The 17,434-nt window shown below is 47.6% G+C and overlaps 1 protein-coding gene across 2 annotated transcripts in view, besides 1 other annotated feature; it reads left to right on the forward strand.

Moving 5' to 3' along the window:
- AJAP1 (adherens junctions associated protein 1) overlaps positions 1–10,520 on the forward strand; it is a 137,926-nt gene extending 127,406 nt beyond the window's left edge. For both annotated transcript variants that reach the window (XM_011541786.3, NM_018836.4), the window contains one exon: positions 531–10,520. The gene's annotated coding sequence lies outside the window, so the exon portion shown is untranslated. The remainder of the gene's footprint in view (positions 1–530) is intronic.
- Positions 159–677: an enhancer, noted in NCBI's record as "H3K27ac-H3K4me1 hESC enhancer chr1:4842233-4842751 (GRCh37/hg19 assembly coordinates)". NCBI's record gives its function as "activates a minimal SCP1, AML or CMV promoter by ChIP-STARR-seq in primed H9 embryonic stem cells {active_cell/tissue: H9 hESC(primed)}" and the evidence as "EXISTENCE:reporter gene assay evidence [ECO:0000049][PMID:30033119]".
- Positions 10,521–17,434: the final 6,914 nt, after the last annotated feature.

Below are 17,434 nucleotides of genomic sequence, written 5' to 3' on the forward strand. Positions count from 1 at the left end.
GTCCATTTATCTCTCCCGAATTCTGGCCTCGGGGATCCTGCAGCTGAGTAGTGGACAGAAACAGACTCCCATTCTTCCCGCAGCACAGGAGTGGAGCAGGCCCCACGCCACCCTCCATGGGAGGAAACTGGACAGAGAGTGAGAGCAGGGCTGCCACACGCAGGCCCCCTGACATGCACGCCTGGGACCGGATGCCCCGGCACCCCCACCATGAGTTAGCGGAGGGGGTGGTCCCAGCCCCTGGTAGCAAGCTCAGAGCTCTGTAGATGACCAGAATTCCACAAGGTTCAGGCTCCCACTTCATACCCTTGGGATTCCCAGTGTTTCTTCCAGTTCCTGCTGACCAGTTCTAGTGAGGCCTTGTCCACGTTCCAAGGACCCCTCCGTGTCAGTGAACCGATAAAGGGAGTGATCGGGCTCTGCATGCGGGGGTGCTGCGTGTGGGGGTCCCAGTCGACCGAGAACCCCACAGACTTGTCGCGCCCTCGGCGTGCTGCCATTTAATCTCTTCTTGTTTTCTTTCCACACAGGATTCCGTTGGTGAACCTGTAAAAACAAAACAAACAAAACAAAACAAAAAAGACAAAACCTAAAACTGAGCTATCTAAGGGGGAGGGTCCCCGCACCTACCACTTCTGTTTGCCGGTGGGAAACTCACAGAGCAGGACGCTCTAGGCCAAATCTATTTTTGTAAAAATGCTCATGCCTATGGGTGACTGCCTTCTCCCAGAGTTTTCTTTGGAGAACAGAAAGAAGAAAGGAAAGAAAGGAACCAGAGGCAGAGAGACGAGGATACCCAGCGAAAGGGACGGGAGGAAGCATCCGAAACCTAGGATTCGTCCTACGATTCTGAACCTGTGCCAATAATACCATTATGTGCCATGTACTGACCCGAAAGGCTCGGCCGCAGAGCCGGGGCCCAGCGAATCACGCAGAGAAATCTTACAGAAAACAGGGGTGGGAATCTCTTCCGATAGAGTCGCTATTTCTGGTTAATATACATATATAAATATATAAATACAAACACACACACACACTTTTTTTGTACTGTAGCAATTTTTGAAGATCTTAAATGTTCCTTTTTAAAAAAAAGAATTGTGTTATAGGTTACAAAATCTGATTTATTTAACATGCTTAGTATGAGCAGAATAAACCAGTGTTTTCTACTTTGGCAACTCACGTCACACACATATTACACACATGTGCGCATTACACACACACAATACACATACATGCATATAGACGCATCTATTGGAAATGCAGTTCCACAGGTGAGCATGTTCTTTCTGGTGACCTGGTATTCCATCACCATTCACCCCAGGGGACAGCCTCGACCGAGACAAGGAGGCCCTTAAATGACAGCCTGCATTTGCTAGACGGTTGGTGAGTGGCATCAAATGTGTGACTTACTATCTTGGGCCAGAACTAAGAATGCCAAGGTTTTATATATGTGTGTGTATATATATATATATATATATATATATATATATATATATGTTTGTGTGTGTATATATATATATATATATATATGTTTGTGTGTGTATATATATGTTTGTGTATATATATACACATATGCATACATATGATTTTTTTTTTTCATTTAAGTGTTGGAAGATGCTACCTAACAGCCACGTTCACATTTACGTAGCTGGTTGCTTACAAACGGGCCTGAGCCCCTGGTTGGGTGGGTGGTGGATTCTTGGACGTGTGTGTCATACAAGCATAGACTGGATTAAAGAAGTTTTCCAGTTCCAAAAATTAAAGGAATATATCCTTATGATGTGTGTGTGTAATATCAGGGCAGAACTTAGACATACGTGAAGGGCCCCGGTTGGTTTGAAAACGAAAAATAGTCATTCTGTGTGCAAACCACAAGGCTGCCCCAGTCAGGCAGCGCCCTGACCTGGCCTGTGCTGCATTGCCTTCCCTTGCGCAGGTGGGCAGGTGTGGCCCGCTTTTTCTAGGGCCCAAGGGTGACTTGGAATCTTGGGGGAAGCCTCGGCAAAGATGCCGTTCTCCCGTCAGCTTCCATTGGCCGATGGATGTTTCTGTTTTGTCACCGAGAATCCTACTATAAACTACCCAGTGGAAACAGGGGCCCCAGACCTGAGCCTCAGTACAGAGAATCCCAACCACACACACTTTATTAAAAATACTGCCATGCCGCCGGGCCTCCCTCACAAGCCTCACCTGAAACGGGCTCACTGGTGCCCCAGACTTGCTGTCAACAGCGGGTGCTGTAGGGATCTAGGGATGCATCTCATGGCCCACGCTGTGCCTCCTTAAAGGATGTTTCCTGTCCATGGGAGACGCCTAACATGGTGTGGGTCCCTGTCTCCAAAGACTATATTTCTCACGCGTGGCCCACGTGCAGCTTTAATTTCAGCAGTAGAGTGCATGAGCCAATTCAGTGAAATGTCACAGGCCAGGCAAAAAGGTTAAAGATCAGACAGACAGCTGACCTTACTGCCCTCAATGGCCAGGCTGATGACCTGATTCTTCCCTTGGGCTCAGTCTCCCTCTAAAACACCTTGTGATATGCTTCAGAAGTTCACTTTTGTATCTCCTGAAACATGTGAACCTAGAGTAAGGCCTCCGGAGGTGAAAGGATTGTTTTTGTGATGCAGCAGTGTTGAGATCTGTATCCATGGTATTGCTCACAAATTAGGAAAAGTTGTTCTTTAGTTTTTGTTCTGTCATTTATTTTCCCCCCAAGCTTTGGCACATCCTGAGACAATGCAAACATCCGCCACTGGCATTTGGCCGTCTCCAGGTTCCTGGCACTCACCTGCATGGCGCTCCAGCCTGCAGCTCTCTCTGCGCGCCATCCGGCCTCGTCCATCCCATTCTCCTTCAATCACTCCCTCCCGCTGAGGTGGGCCTCCTGACTCCAGGTGAGCACAGCGTGGTGCGAGTGCATGGTGAGGGCTGGCGGCGGCCAACAGGCAGTGGGGTGGCTGCTCTGGTCTCTGACATTCTGAGCTCCAGAGTGAGCCCAACTAAGGAGGAGGTGACGGCCGGGGGGCCCTGTTGGTTCGCTGATCATGAGAACCTAGGATTCCCGAGGGACTCCTGGTATCTGCTCTGTCAACTCCCAGCTGCTCAGCCCCCTTCTCTGACCATGTGCGGCACCCTGGATGCCCTGAACTCTTTCCTGGGTCCATAAGACATCGAGCCTTGGAAGGAAGCGTAATGCAACAACCCTCTTGTCCCCGATAAGAGCCACAGATTCAAGGCAGGGCTGTGAGACCCACACAGGCACAAACACCAGACAAGCAAGTGCATGCCCATTCCACACCCAAAAGTCTGGTTCTGTACCAACATGACATCCGTCAAGGTAAATCCACACAAAGGCTGCTATTTCTGGATGATTGAGGCAGTGTCTGTAGACGTGTTACTTTACTTTTTTAAATGGTTACCTGCTCTCCCAGACCCCTCACCTGGGATTGTCGTCTAGGTAAGAGGAGATAATGAGTGAAAGTGACTGGGCCTCGGAAATGCAGCCCCACCCACGGTGAAGTCTGCACCAGAGCACAGACTTGTCCTACTTCGGGCCATATGTATAGGTAATGCCCATGTACTTTGTGTGTCGGTGGCTGCTGATTTGGCCTGATCAGTCCTTCTGCAGCCTTGGGGCAGTGTTTCAAGCTAGTTGGTGTCCTCTTTCCTCTGCTTGACCCCTGGAATTCAGAGTCTAATAGTAGACACCTCCCATCCCCCACCCAAGGCCTGGTCCTTTCCTTTGCTTGAGCTTTTATTCCTCAAGAAAAGAACTCCAAGGAAGGGTGATGTGGTTTGTTAGGGTTCCCCAGTTTTCGTCCACTTCCATCTTATTCCTCGGAGATCCCGCAATTGCAAACCCCCTGGCAGCCTCCTGGCACCTGCATTTGCCTTTAAAGCTTAGAAACAGCTGGGAATGCACTCCTTGTACAGTCCAGTCCGTTTTCAGACAAAGTCGCTGCTAGTCTTCACACGCTTGATGTCACTTTGTCTGATTGGAATATGCGTGTCATTGCTCTTGTTTCCGAGTTTGGCGTGAGAAAGGCAGGGTTCTCCAGGCATGGTCAGGGAGCTTCCCCACCGTTTCCCATTGGGCTCAGATTCCAGCCATTACCGAGACAAATCCAAGCCTTCTCACGCAACGTGGAAGCGTGGTGACACCCTGGGGTGTGTGGAGGTGGCTGCTAGTGTTCCTATTTACTGCCCTCCTTGCACACAGAAGGGAGAGGCCACTTAGGGGACCTTGTCTTCTCCGTAGTATTTCTAGTCCTTGCCAATCTTGAACTTGAGTGGACTTCTCATATTACATTCAGCTCCCAGAAATTCACTCCAGTCCTTCCTGGAGCATTGTGAAATTAGAAACCTGAACTCATCAGCAAACCCCACCCACTCTTTGAATCGGGACACCAGGAAACCCGTTACTACTAATGTGATCTTACCATCTTAATCCTTTCTTTCAAAAATACGTGACTCTTTCACAGCCATATTTTAGCGTCAGGAAAAGCCATGCTTAGAGGGATTGGTCTTCAAAATTTTGTGTGTGATGCCCAATGTGTAGGCCATATTGAAAGGTGAACGCACCAAAGGATCGACCCTGTCACCTTGGATGGTCTCTATTTTGACCCTGTTGCCCATGGAGAGGTATTTTACCCTTTTGCTTCTTTGCTCAGGTGGTCCAGGGTTGTCTGTAGCCCAGGAAGCGGACTGACCCTGTATCTTGAAAGATAAGACCAGGAACCGGGAGTGAGGCTGGGACTCTCACTCAGCCTTTTCACGGTCAGTCTTGGTCTTCTCATACTTATTTCAAGATGGCACCAGGACACACCTTCTTTTGTCCACCTGTTGACACCATCACCCTCTTTCATCAAGGTGATCTCTTTCATCAGGGCATATATGAGACTTGGTGCTCCACCAGACTGTCTTCTCCCCTACCCCTGCCCCTTCCACAAAGCCATTTCTCAAGTCGCAGTGGGAAAAGATACCAAGACACCTGATTTCTTGAACCATTCTTGCTTCAGCATGTGAATTCTTTAAGACACTACTCACATATGCCATTGGAGAGAAACAACCCGTTCTGCATCACCATAATGAACCGATCAGTCATTCATCCTCTTATTCAACAAATACTTGTTCCACTTCTACCACACTGGCCATACAGTTGGAGGCAAGATGGGCACAGTTATGGCCTTGTGGGCTTTATATTCTACAGTGGGAGGAGGTGGATGGTTAATGTGAAAGCAAACCAAAATAATTTCCAGAGAGAGAAGAGGCAGGAAGAGAGCAGAGCAGAGTGATGGGGCTGGGGGCAGAGAAGGAGAGAGGGGAAGAGGGAGAGAGTGGGGGGCATTGAAGGGGAAGAAAGAGAGGCAGGGGTTGTCTACGTCTCCTCCTCCTGCGACCCATCACCTACTGGAAAATTACCACTTGCTGCTTGAGGGTTGGTCTGGTGTTGGATGGAGGAAGAAGGCCTTAGTCTTAGCTCTTGGATAAAATGCAGTGCAGCACTGAAGATAAGACATCGCAGTTGTTACGACGCCTGGTTCTCCACCAAATTCCTCTGTCATTCCAGCAAGAGTGGAAGCAGAGGGGCAGGGGCAGGGGCAGGATGAGGGCTGCTGCCCTGGTGATGAGCTTGCCCCATCCCTGGGCACTGGCTCTGCCCAGCCCCTCCCATGTTGGTCCCATCTGTCAGGTTGCCAGGCCAAGCAGGTCTCAGGTCAGCCAGGTCTCAAGGAGGATAAGGGGGTTCAACGTCAGCGACTTGGCCCACGGGGCACGGGCACCTTGGGGATGCCATTCTTCTTGGTGCCAGAAGGCAGCTGCATCTCCAGAAGCTCCCCCAGCACTGAGCTCACTTAGTGGCATCCTTCTTAAACAGCATCTGCTTTTAAGTAAGCAGCTATTCCAAAACATGCCGTGATTCATGTAATTTTTGAGTGGTTACTTTGGTGCAGTTTGTCAATTTGCTCTACCATACTGTTTTTTGATTATTTGTTTGTTTTCTAGTGTAAATAGCACAGCCCACATAAATGAGCGAAACTCATCATCTGAGGATCTTTGATTATTCTTCCCCACTTATTGTACATTGATGTGCCGCCTGCTAGGAAGATAAACTCCCTCTTTGCTCACTCTGAGCCAGGATCTCTGTGTTAGTTACACTCAGCCTTATCTGAGCATTCCAGGGAGGTCTTAAATGAATGTTTGGGGTTTTGAAACATGCTACCAGCCCTTCCTTCCAAAGAGCATGAAGCATGGCTCTGTGTGGTTTTGTGTGTCTAGGTTTAGAGCTTGTATTTGGATGTAAGGAGTGACTAAAAACAGGTCTAGGCAGAGAACTGCTATCTTTTAAACCACCCCAGCCCTCAGTCGAACAGAAAGAATGAGCGTCTTCTGATGTCAAATCATTCTAGAAAGGTCTTAGCTAGTGAGCACAAAGTAGCCAATCCCGGGAGTTTATATGGGCCTCCATGTGACCAAGCCATCCCTAGCTAGGAAACTTAACTCTTTGCACAACCTCCCTTTATGCTGAAGGGCCCTTGGGAACATGGGAACATTTGCACTTTGTCAGAGGAGTGGCCCCACCCTACTCTCTGCCTGAAACACAAAGCAGCTCCCCTCAGAACAGCCAGCCCGGTGCAGAAGCACTTGAACTTCTCATCTTCCATCTTATTTCACTTTGGTTGCAGGGAGTTAAATACATAGGCCACAGCAGACTAAGGGAGCGGTGTGCACAATGGCCCCCAGAATATCCAGTGACCCAAGTGATGTTAGTCTTAGGGTCCCTAAGGCAGTAGGGCATGGGGAGGAAAGTTCTCTCCATCGATTCCCAAACACACCAGCCACAAGTCCACACTCCACACCTGTAAACGCACAGCCCATGCCCCATTGTAAAGGTGACTGAAGAGAATGGTCAACTCGGTGGTGATGGGCCTGTTTTGGAGCTAAAAGCATAAAATGAATCCTCCCTGTAGCTCCATTGCCTTTTCCTCGTGAAGGATTCCCTGCTAAATGTTCTAAGAGTTACTGTACATAGAATCAAGAGAGCAGTTTTGAATGAGCCGTAAATCTGAGTCATATATAAGAGGCATAATATAAATTGGGCCAAGCTTGCCCATGTGGGACACACAGGTTTATAGAGATTAAACACTAGTGAGTAGCGGGGGAAGGGAACAGTGACTGTATAAATGGCCATATAAATGACCTACTTGTCTTCTCATGTAGGCTGGAATCAGAACCTACGTATGCTGTAGATAACAGTCAATTAAATGGGTTAATGTTCTAAGCCAAGAGAGTTCTAAGCCAAGACATGTGCTTGGGACTGGATTAACTCTTGTCAATATCTTGGATTCCATAGTAAAACATCTGTTAAGTAACATGCGGCAGGAAAGGATGCAGGGAGCATTGGACTGTAGGAAATTCTCCTTTATACAAGTTAATTAGTTTTGTCTCTGGTGGCTGTCTCTTAAAACAGAATCCCCTGGAGACCCGGGTTTTCATTTTGTAATTCAACACCCAAATATTTGCAACACTAAATAACAACTCCCTAAAGACTTCAGTCTTGCATGGGCATAAGCAACTCACACTGGTTAGCTTTTGTCAGATTTCGTCGTTTCCGCAGCAAAATTTCTTAGTGTTGATGTTGATAGCTTCTGGGTTGGCAAACTGGCAGTTCACTCTAGTCTTACTGGGTTGGGCAAGTCCTTGCCCCTAGAAAATTGGGGATAGCTTTGGCCATGGGAGGAGCAAGAACACTACGCAGTCGTAAGCTCTGTTTTTTGTTTTGTTTTGTTTTGTTTTGTTTTCGGCACCATTATGTACGATGAAGACTTACAGCCACTGCTAATACAGCATAGGGGACACTTTGAGGAGCCCTAGTATCATTGTTTGAAATCATTGTACAGGGAACTGCAGGGGTGAACACCATTGTACCAATCCCCGGGCCAGTGTCTCATTTCCTAACAGAATCATCCCATTCTTGTTCACTCTTCAGTCATCCCAAGCCAAAAGGGAAAATTCGAAACCCACTGTGACACCCCAACCCTAATTTCCAACCTTTGGAGGACTCACCTGGGGCAGAAGGGAGAAAGGGCTTTGCTGAAGTCTCAGGCTGCCGAGAGCCATGTATGGGCATAGGAGCAAGCTGATGGCATGGCTCTTGACAAGGTTTTCTATAGGGCAGCAGCTGCTGCTCCCAGGGGAACCCTCTCCTGTTGCCTCCGCAGTCTATTCTGGGGTGGAAACACCATTCTCTATTATTTCTCTCACATACATGTGGATTTCTAATATCAAGTTATGTGACTGCCTACCACTTAAGGCCTACAAAACCACATGGGAGTTTCTTTATTGCGTATGCAGCCAGTCAACATGAATGGGACCCTAGAAACTGTGAGGAGCAGGATTCTCTAAGGTGCTCTTAGATACGGTGTCACTTCCACATACAAGCACAATTCTCCCAGTTAAGGGGCTGGAAGACAAGCGGGGCAACTGGTTTTGAAAAGCCCGCTGGCGTGCCAGAGGGGGTGTTTGCCCACACCCTCCTTGAATTTAACTGCCACAATCTATCCGCAGATGTGTTTTGTTCTATTTCTTGTTTTTCACTAGCGTTTGCGTTGCTTCCTCTGAAGCCAGAGGGTGAAAGGCCCTAGCAAAGTTAGTTATCAGTCAACTGATGATAACTGTGATCCTTAAAGATGAATTCCCAGCCTGAGGTGACACACAGAGGTTCAGCAGACGTCTCAGGATCTGTCATATGTCATGTTGCTTGGTGTGAAGATGGAAGAACAAAGTCCACATCAGTTTCTGCTCCTTCAAACAGTGTGTCGATATGAAACATTGAGATTTGGCAGAAACATGTGCCTAGTTTGCAGCACCAAATACTGGTCTTCTCAGAAGTGTTTCTGTTTTTTTGTTTTTGTTTTTGTTTTTGTTTTTGTTTTTGTTTTGTTTAATTTCCTCTTCTGGCATCCCAATTTGGATCATTTCCTCTCTTTCTTTCCTGGAGAAACAGGATGGCAGGTGCTGGAGCCCAGAGAGGGGGTCACCCTCCAGCTAAAATGATTTAAATGGAAAGGAGAATGACAGCAAAGCCTCACGTGAACTTTAATGACCTTATCAATGACCTTTACTAACTGACTCTTGGTACCCGGATTGTTGAGAGGTGAGTGGGACTAAAAGCCAGGATCAAGATCAGGTTGCTCCACACATTTGCAGATCAGGAACCCCGGGAATATGAGTTAGACCCAGAAAGTATTGAACTGGACATTGAATGAAGCTTGAGGCCATGCATTGATAACATTTTTAGAGTCTGTTACATTATTTTCTCAAAAGGAACACATGTTTACTACAAACCATTTAGAAAATACCAATAACCAAACAGAAGGGAAATGTCTGGAACCTTCCAGTTGTTTAATTCTGTAGAAACTGTTCACGAAAGGCTGAATGAGTGGGGACAAGTCACAGAGATCTCGCCATGGTTAGCACCAGGGACAAGTCTGGCTCTAATGTATGTTTTATGAAGTCTGATTAGCTTTGAAATGCATCTTTGCCAGCTGAACTTGTCATGCACTAAACTTCCCATTGATCATTAGAGTGTCTACGATTAAGTGGAAAAGGTGGTCAACCATTTGGATGTTTGACTTTCACAACATCAAGCATTGGCCATTGGGCGTATCTGGGCATTGGTATGGAATAAACAGGATACTCAGTGAAACATCCAAACTATTGACTGGATTTTTCCCATGGGGCATCTGTCTAAGAGTCACAGATCTGAGAAATAGAAGGACCAGGTCCGTGTGGATGCTCCTAGTGCGTTCAAATAACCCTTGAATTCACCAGGTCTCATTGCATTTATTTAAAGATGGAGCCCATTGTCCCCCCTCCTCCTCAGCTCACCCATGGAACTAGAAATTCACAAACCTGAAGCTGAACCACAGGACAAGAAATTAAACAGCAACGGCCACATGGCCTCTTTTTTCACAGGTTTTGCATTGAATGTTTTAGAACTTTATTCCCCCGCCCCCTCACCCATGTATACCAAAACTGGTTTTATTTTCATTTTCCTAAATTATTTTCTGATACAATAAACTGTTAACTGTTTATTTATACTTTTACAAGGAGCACTTGTTATTTTTCAAAAGGAAAACAAAAGCCTCTCTGTTTTCATGTTCTCCGTATATCTATACCACAGCTGTCTCTATAGACGTATTTATATATCATCTTCTTGAGAGAGTTAACCTCCTGTAGTTTAATGTTGTGTTTCTTTTCTTTAAATGCATATCATAATCATGTTAATAAACAAAAATGACACAATATATGTGGGTGGGGGGCGGGGGGCAGGTGGCTGGGTGTGATTTCCGTACAGGTGAACTTTTATTCCAGATTTTTTTAAGTTGTTTCTGTATTTCAAAGCTATGTATTTGGAAAACATTGTAAATGAAACACCTATATTAACTTTCCTGTGTATATTTAGTACTCTGATGTTGCTATTAAAAAAAAAAACATAATATGAAAAAAAAAAAAAAGAAGAGAAAAAAGAATTACCATGAGTTCAGGCCATGACCTCATAAGGACTTTTTTTTATGTTACTTCTTTGTTTATTTTTTAACAATATTATCTGAGACCTCCTCTAAGAACATAGGCGTTGTTTCTATGCCTGTGGTTCACAGAGTCTAAGACTTCCTCCCTGAATCTTCATTATCTCCAAACCAATGCTTTGCCCAGTTAAACAACTCTGAAAACACTTTCAGGTCTCAGTGTCTGGGCCCTGGGGTTGGTTATTAACTGAGTCTGAGTTAACCAGTCAGGGTCTACCACATAGTACCTGATACCACAAACGCCTACAAGCTCAGGGTTGGGGGGTTCCAGTGGATCTTTTATGGGCAGTTGCAGGCCAGCAAATGTCTTGCAAAGATTCCTGCAGAGGAAACCGTGCCCTGGGGAAAGGGTCGGCCCAAGGCTTATAATTGTGTGCTGGTGCCAAGGCAAAACATTTCAAAGGGCCTCCAGTATCAGAGCCAGGAGATACCTCGCGCACTCACAGTATTTGCAGAGTGCAAAAGAGAGCTCTGTCCACTTCCAGACATGCTCGGATCAGGCAGAGTATGGGGGAGCAAGGCCCCTGCCTCTAGGCCAGCAGTTCTCAATGTGGGGTGATCCTCACCCCCACAACATCTGGCAATGTCTGGAGACATTTCTGGTTGTCACAACGGGGCTAGGGGTGCTACTGGCATCTAGTGTGAAGAGGCTAGCAGGCTGATAAGCACCCTACCCAGCACAGGGCAGCCCCCTAACACAGTCATCCAGCTCCAGAGGCTGAGGTTGAGAAACTCCCCTCTTAGAACTGGGTGGGATGCTGCACTTTGCTGTGCTCCCCATGGGAGGCAGGATGTTTTTTTGCCCTGATGTGGACTTAAAGGTGAAGCTCTCACATCAGCTGTCTCTGGGCCGGCTGGAGCTAAGCCTCAGGGTAAGAAAGCAAGGCTGGCGGGGCGACCTTGTGTTCTAGTGAACCCTGCTGCTCAGCCCCAGGTGTACTCTATACCTGCTAAGCACCTTTTAACCTGTCAATGTCTTTTCACATATTTGAAATTACCTGAACCTATCACCAAGGTCATATGCATCATCCATGTATGACTTTGCCCCACTTGCCAAATGGGGCAGACCAAGCGACACAAGGGCATGGCTGATAAAGGGTCCCTAGGCCAGGAGGGGGGTCCCAGTGGACCCAGACCTCATCTAACCCACCTCAGCTCCAACCACAGCCTCACACAACTCCAGATACATCTCCAGTGCATGGTTATCCTGCTGCTACATTTTCTGTCCTGCCTTTCTTTCTTTCGAGGCAGGGTCTTGCTCTGTCACCCAGGCTGGAGTGCATTGGCACAATCATAGCTCACTACAGCCTCAAACTCCTGGGCTCAAGCAATCCTCCTTCCTCGGCCTCCTGAGTAGCTGGGAATACAGGCGTAGGCACCATGCCCATCTAATTTTTAAATTTTTTTGTACGAACATGGTCTCATTCTGTTGCCCAGGCTAGTCTTGAACTCCTGGCCTGAAGCAATCCTCCTGCGTCAGCCTCCCAAAGCACTGGGTTAGCAGCATGAGCCACCACATCTGGTCTGGCCCTTCTTTCTTAATCAAAGCCATTGTCAAGGGCAAGGACCAGTCACAGAAAGATGACGGAGAGAGGTGAGTCAGAGGCACGGTCACAGTTTCAGTCAACACCAAGAGCTGATCTGCACGTAGGAAAAGGACACACACCAAAGGCCTGCAGAGCTAGAGATGCTCAGCCTCAGGCATCTCCAAGACATAGGAGTGCTGAGGCCTGACCACAGAGTGAAGAGCCTTCTTTACAGGCCTAGAAAAAGCAGCATTTCCCCCTAATTAGCTCTGAAGAGCAGGTGGTGCTCCTCCCCATTCCCCATCCCTCACCTGGCATAGAATCAATGGACAACTTACCCAGTGCCTCATCCAGCACCAGGCGCAGGGCACTCATGACAAAAGCACTTCCATTCCAACCTTCTCAGCATCCTGTGGTGCCTTTGTCTTCCTCCTTATCCCCACCCTGGGAGCTTCCACTTGTCTGTGAGGCCAGGGACTGGCACATGGCCGAGGTGACCACTGGCTCCCCAGGGCACTCTCTCCTGAGTCAGTGAGAGGCCTAATGTCCTCAGACACACTGATGAATGGGATACATAACTGTCTTTAACAAGCAGAAAAAAAGCAATACCACTTTGGTCATTTAACTGATTTAGACAAATCAACAGCCTGGATACCATTAAAGTAAACTCAATTTGCTCACCAGTGAGAGGGGGAAATTGGAATTCTAGTATCCATTTGCTAGTGCATAGAGCTCTTGCCTTTGAACTGAAGCCAAGACAATAAATACTGGGTCCCGATATGATTGACTAAGTTTGGCAGAGTTGCCTGTGATGGGCTTTTGAACACACAAGCACAACAGAAACCTTGCTCACTGAACAAGGCTGTGGGGACTTCCCTCCAGCGCAGTGAAGGCGGGCTGGGCATCAGGAGGAGCTGGTGCAACTATAGGTTCTCCCTAGCAACTGTCCCTACCAACTGTATGGGGCCACAGAAGGCAGGAAATATGATTTTGGGGAGCTAGGGGCTCCCCACATCCCTCAAGTGAAGACCATTCGATGGGCTAAGAGTCAAAGGTACACTTGAGGTCTTCCCCAAAAACCAACTGGAACCAACAACCCAGGCTGGTGCCAAGTTGAGAGGGACCGTAGGACTCTAGATCTTATTGTCTGCAGATGCTCTCTGCATTTGTTGTGACTCGTAATAAGTGCTTGTTCAAATCGATACATCTCCTCTGCTTTATTAACAGGCATTAACTTCAGAGCTGAGAAATGAAGTTCTAAGGTGTGAGGATAGGTTCCTTTAGAACAGCAGTTCTCAGGGGATGACATTCTTCCCAGAGAGATTTAGCACCGCCTGGTGACAGTTTGGGTTCTCATAACTAAGTAGTACAGCGGGCACTGACATCTAGAATTTGGAAGCCAGGGATGCCATCGAACACCCTGCTATGCACAGGACAGCCCCATGACAAAAACAATCCAGCCCCAAATGTCAACAGTGCTGACATTGACAGCAGTGTTCTGGGGGATGCTGAAGTCGACCTGCTTTATGCAGAGGGTCATCATATAAATCAACACTGCTCATCGGGTCTTCCTGAAGCCAGCAGCTTCCTTAGGGAACAACAGGGTTATCTCAGGAAGCAAAGGGTGAGCTCTCCTTTCCCAGATCTTTTTTAAAGCCTGGGTGTTTTGGTTTGCTATGGCTCCTGTAACAAAATAGCACAAACTGGATGTGGCTTCAAACCATGGAAATGTATTGCATCACAGTTCTGTAAGCCAGAAGGCTGAGATCCAGAGGGACAGAGCCAGGCACCCTCTGAAGGCACTAGGGCTGGGCACCCTCTGAAGGCACTAGGGAAAGGTCTGCTCCAGGCCTCTCTCCTGCTTCTGGTGAATACTTGGCATGTGGCAGCCTCACTCCATCCTTCACTTGGCATCTTCCCTGTGTGTGTGTCTGTGTCTAAATTTTCCCTTTTAATAAGGATACCAGTCATGCGGGTTTGGGGCCCACCTTTCTCCAGTAGGACCTCGTCCTAACAAATTGCATCTGCAATGGGCCTATTTCCAAATAAGGTCACATTCTGAGCTGCAGGGGGTTAGGACTGCAGCATATGCATTTGGTCAGGGGGCTTGACACAATTCAACCCATGACGCTGGGGAATCAGAGATGCCATCACTTGTATTGAAACCTGCCCCACTTTCCTTTGTTCTGCATCTATCCTGAGAAAACGTGAAGGGCCTCAGGCAGCGAGGGGCAGGGGGTACCCAGAAAGGAGGTTCAAGTTCCTTCTCCTCCCCCGACTGAAGCTGGGGGGCTCGTCCAGGAAACATTGCGGATGATAGTGGCCTCACCTTTTAAAACCAAGGCAGCTGGGTTTCTAGTTGGAGGTTCATCTGGGCTTCAAAAGGGGAAGCAGCTTCCTCTTAAAGTGACTGTCCCCAGAATAGTGTTTTTGTTTTGGTTTCAGGTTGCCAGATAAAGGTGAAGCAGCTGCCACGGTCATATGCTGTCATAAAACTTAGAAAAAAAGAGAGTGAGGGAAGCGGAATACATAACTCCTTGCACAGAGAACAGCTGCAAATGCAGAGCTTTGCCTCTTTTTTTTCTTCTTCTTTATTTGCATCTGTGATTTCTTATTTCTGTTTCACTTCTTCCCTGAATTTCTGAGCTTCCTATCTGGCTCCAGCACACTTCATCTGGCAGCACGGAGAGTGCCCCCCAGTTAGGATCTGCTGTACTGCAGGAGGGAAGGAGGCCGCCACTGCTAGAGAGACATTTGGCCACTTGCCTGTGACTCAGTGGGCTCTTCCCAGCATTTCTTCTCCCGCTCACCTTCAGCAAAATGGTCTGGGTTTGCAGAGGAACCTTGTTATCTGTCTAGACTCTGTTCTCTATGTGCTCTCTTCTCCAAAGCTCTCCCCATGTTTTCTAACTCTTCAGCCTTGAACTTGGCAGAAGTGATGCAGCAAAGTCTCGGCCCCGTGAGGCTGTGGTTCTCCAGACTGGCAGCCTTCCCAGGAGTGAGGCTGTGGGCACTAAAGCAAGAGGCAGGGTGGGATGGAGAGGAGTCAGCCTTAGCAGCGGGGCAGAGTCTGTGGTTGTCCTGCTCTGGTGCTTGCAGCTCCGCCCACAGACAGGTCCAGAAGGCTGTAGGTCCCCAGAGTGTCCTTGCTGCTGGAGATGGCTGGCTCAGTTCACTTGTTCTCTTTGGAACTCTTTAGAACGTGTAGACCTCCTGCTGATAGTTTTATAGACAATCACCCAGAGTGTAGCCGTTGAGAGCAACTCTATGCAAACCATTGCTTCTGCAAAGCTACAAAATAATGAGCTTTTGATAATGACACTGAATGAGCTGTGGACACAGACTAGACCTTCCTGGGACCACATACCACCTCCGATTGACGGATCCCATTAACACCAGCAGGCCTCTTGGGGCCTGCCATCACCAAAGGCAGCTGAGTGAGGAGAGCCTCCCCAGGCTTGAAAACACTTGGGCTTGATTTTGTTAAAGCTGCACATCGAGGCACTTCCCCCTGAGACCTGGGTTATCTCATATCCTCTCCAATTCGGCAAGGGCCCCCGTTATGCTGGATTGCTTTGGATCATGGAGGAAAAACAATAATGAAGCCATATTTTGGGCATCTGGCTGAGCTTTGTTCTTCCTTTGAGAAAGGAAGCCATACCACAGTTGCCCCAAAGATGAGGCAGACACCTAATTTCCTGAACCAGACCCTTGCTGGCTTGGACACTGTGGCCTGTGGCTGAGTAATGGTTGGGGAGTGAGTGTCTCTCAGTCCAAGACCGCATATATGATAAAATTATGCAGGAAAATAATGAGAACCATTGAAAGATGTTGCTCACTTTGGGATTGAATTACCACCTAAATGAAACTGACAGTGGGCAGGGGGCTTGTAGAATGAAATTAGGGAGGAAGCTGTATTTCAATTGGGAAATGCTGGGTGCTCTCCAGGAGAGCAAGGCTCCTCTAAATGAAATACAATCCTGAGCTCCCGTTTCATCCTCTGTGATTTATTGGAACCAAAGAGGGTTGTTTGAATGGTTCTGAATGTTATTTTCAAAAGCAAATGAACATCTCATTCTGGAATCAAGACACAGGAAACTGACTTTGGAGGATCTGGTACTGGGAGAGACAGGAAGCAATGCTGGGTTCTGTATGACGTCTTCTGTATTTAAGCCCCAGTTCAAGGCAGGCTGGAGGGACATGTGGAGGAGAGAGTCCCTCAGGTCTTGGTGGGGTGGGAGTGAAACCTAGGGCTTTTCCTTTGAGTGTTAATGGGCATTGGACTGGTCTCCTGTGGTCAGTGTGTGGTGGAAAGGTGGCCAGAGACTGAGGAGCAAGGGTGAGACACCCAGAGAAATGTGGGAGACACCAGCCAACTCAACCCCCGGCCTTCCCCAGGTGGGTCCCAGGCTACACTCAATGTTGGTCACCCCTTCCCCTCCTCTTCCTGCCTGTCCAATCCCAGGTGGCAGAACCTCCACTGTACAAATCAGAATCTTCCACTAGTTCTACTAAAAAGGAGGTAAAAGGTGATGTTGTTTCACTTTGATAAGGTTTGGCTCTGGGTCCCCACCCAAATCTCACCTTGAATTATAATCCCTACATGTTATGGGAGGGACCCAGTGGGAGGTAATTGAATCATAGGGGCTGGTTTTGCCCATGCTGTTCTCATGATAGTGAATAAGTCTCTCAAAATCTGATGGTTTTATAAAGGGAAGTTCATGGGCACACACTCTCTCTTGCCTGCTGCCATGTAAGACGTGCCTTTGACCTTCTGCCATGATTGTGAGGCCTCCCCAGCCATGTGGAACTGTGAGTCCATTAAACCTCTTTTTCCTTATAAATTACCCAGTCTCCAGTATGTCTTCATTAGTAGTGTGAGACAGACTAATACACAGTCCTATCTATTGCGGCTCTTTCTGAATGGTATGGTCAAGTTTCTGACAACATCTTCAAGGGCATTGCTCCTGTAGTGACAGCATCTTCCAGTAGTTCTCTGCAAAATTTTATCACCTTTAAGGACTGGGCTGGGAGACATTCACGCACCAACCATTGATCACTCACCTTTCATAGTCTCTAAGCCCTAAGCCCACCCTGGCAGCTTCCACACAGAACTCTTTGGAGAGGTGGCTGAGAGATATTTCCTCCAACCCAATTCACAAGATCATATTCAGCTTGCCTGGATATAAAAACTGATTAGCGACATAACTAGGTTGAACTCAAATGTGATGAAAACTGGTAGTGCGGCTCCTCTTCTGCAGGAAGGCTTGGAATATCTGTGCATTCCTAGGATACGTGACACAGGTTTTCTACCCG

Source organism: Homo sapiens, chromosome 1, assembly GCF_000001405.40.
Source record: "Homo sapiens chromosome 1, GRCh38.p14 Primary Assembly".
NCBI classification, from domain to species: domain Eukaryota; kingdom Metazoa; phylum Chordata; class Mammalia; order Primates; family Hominidae; genus Homo; species Homo sapiens.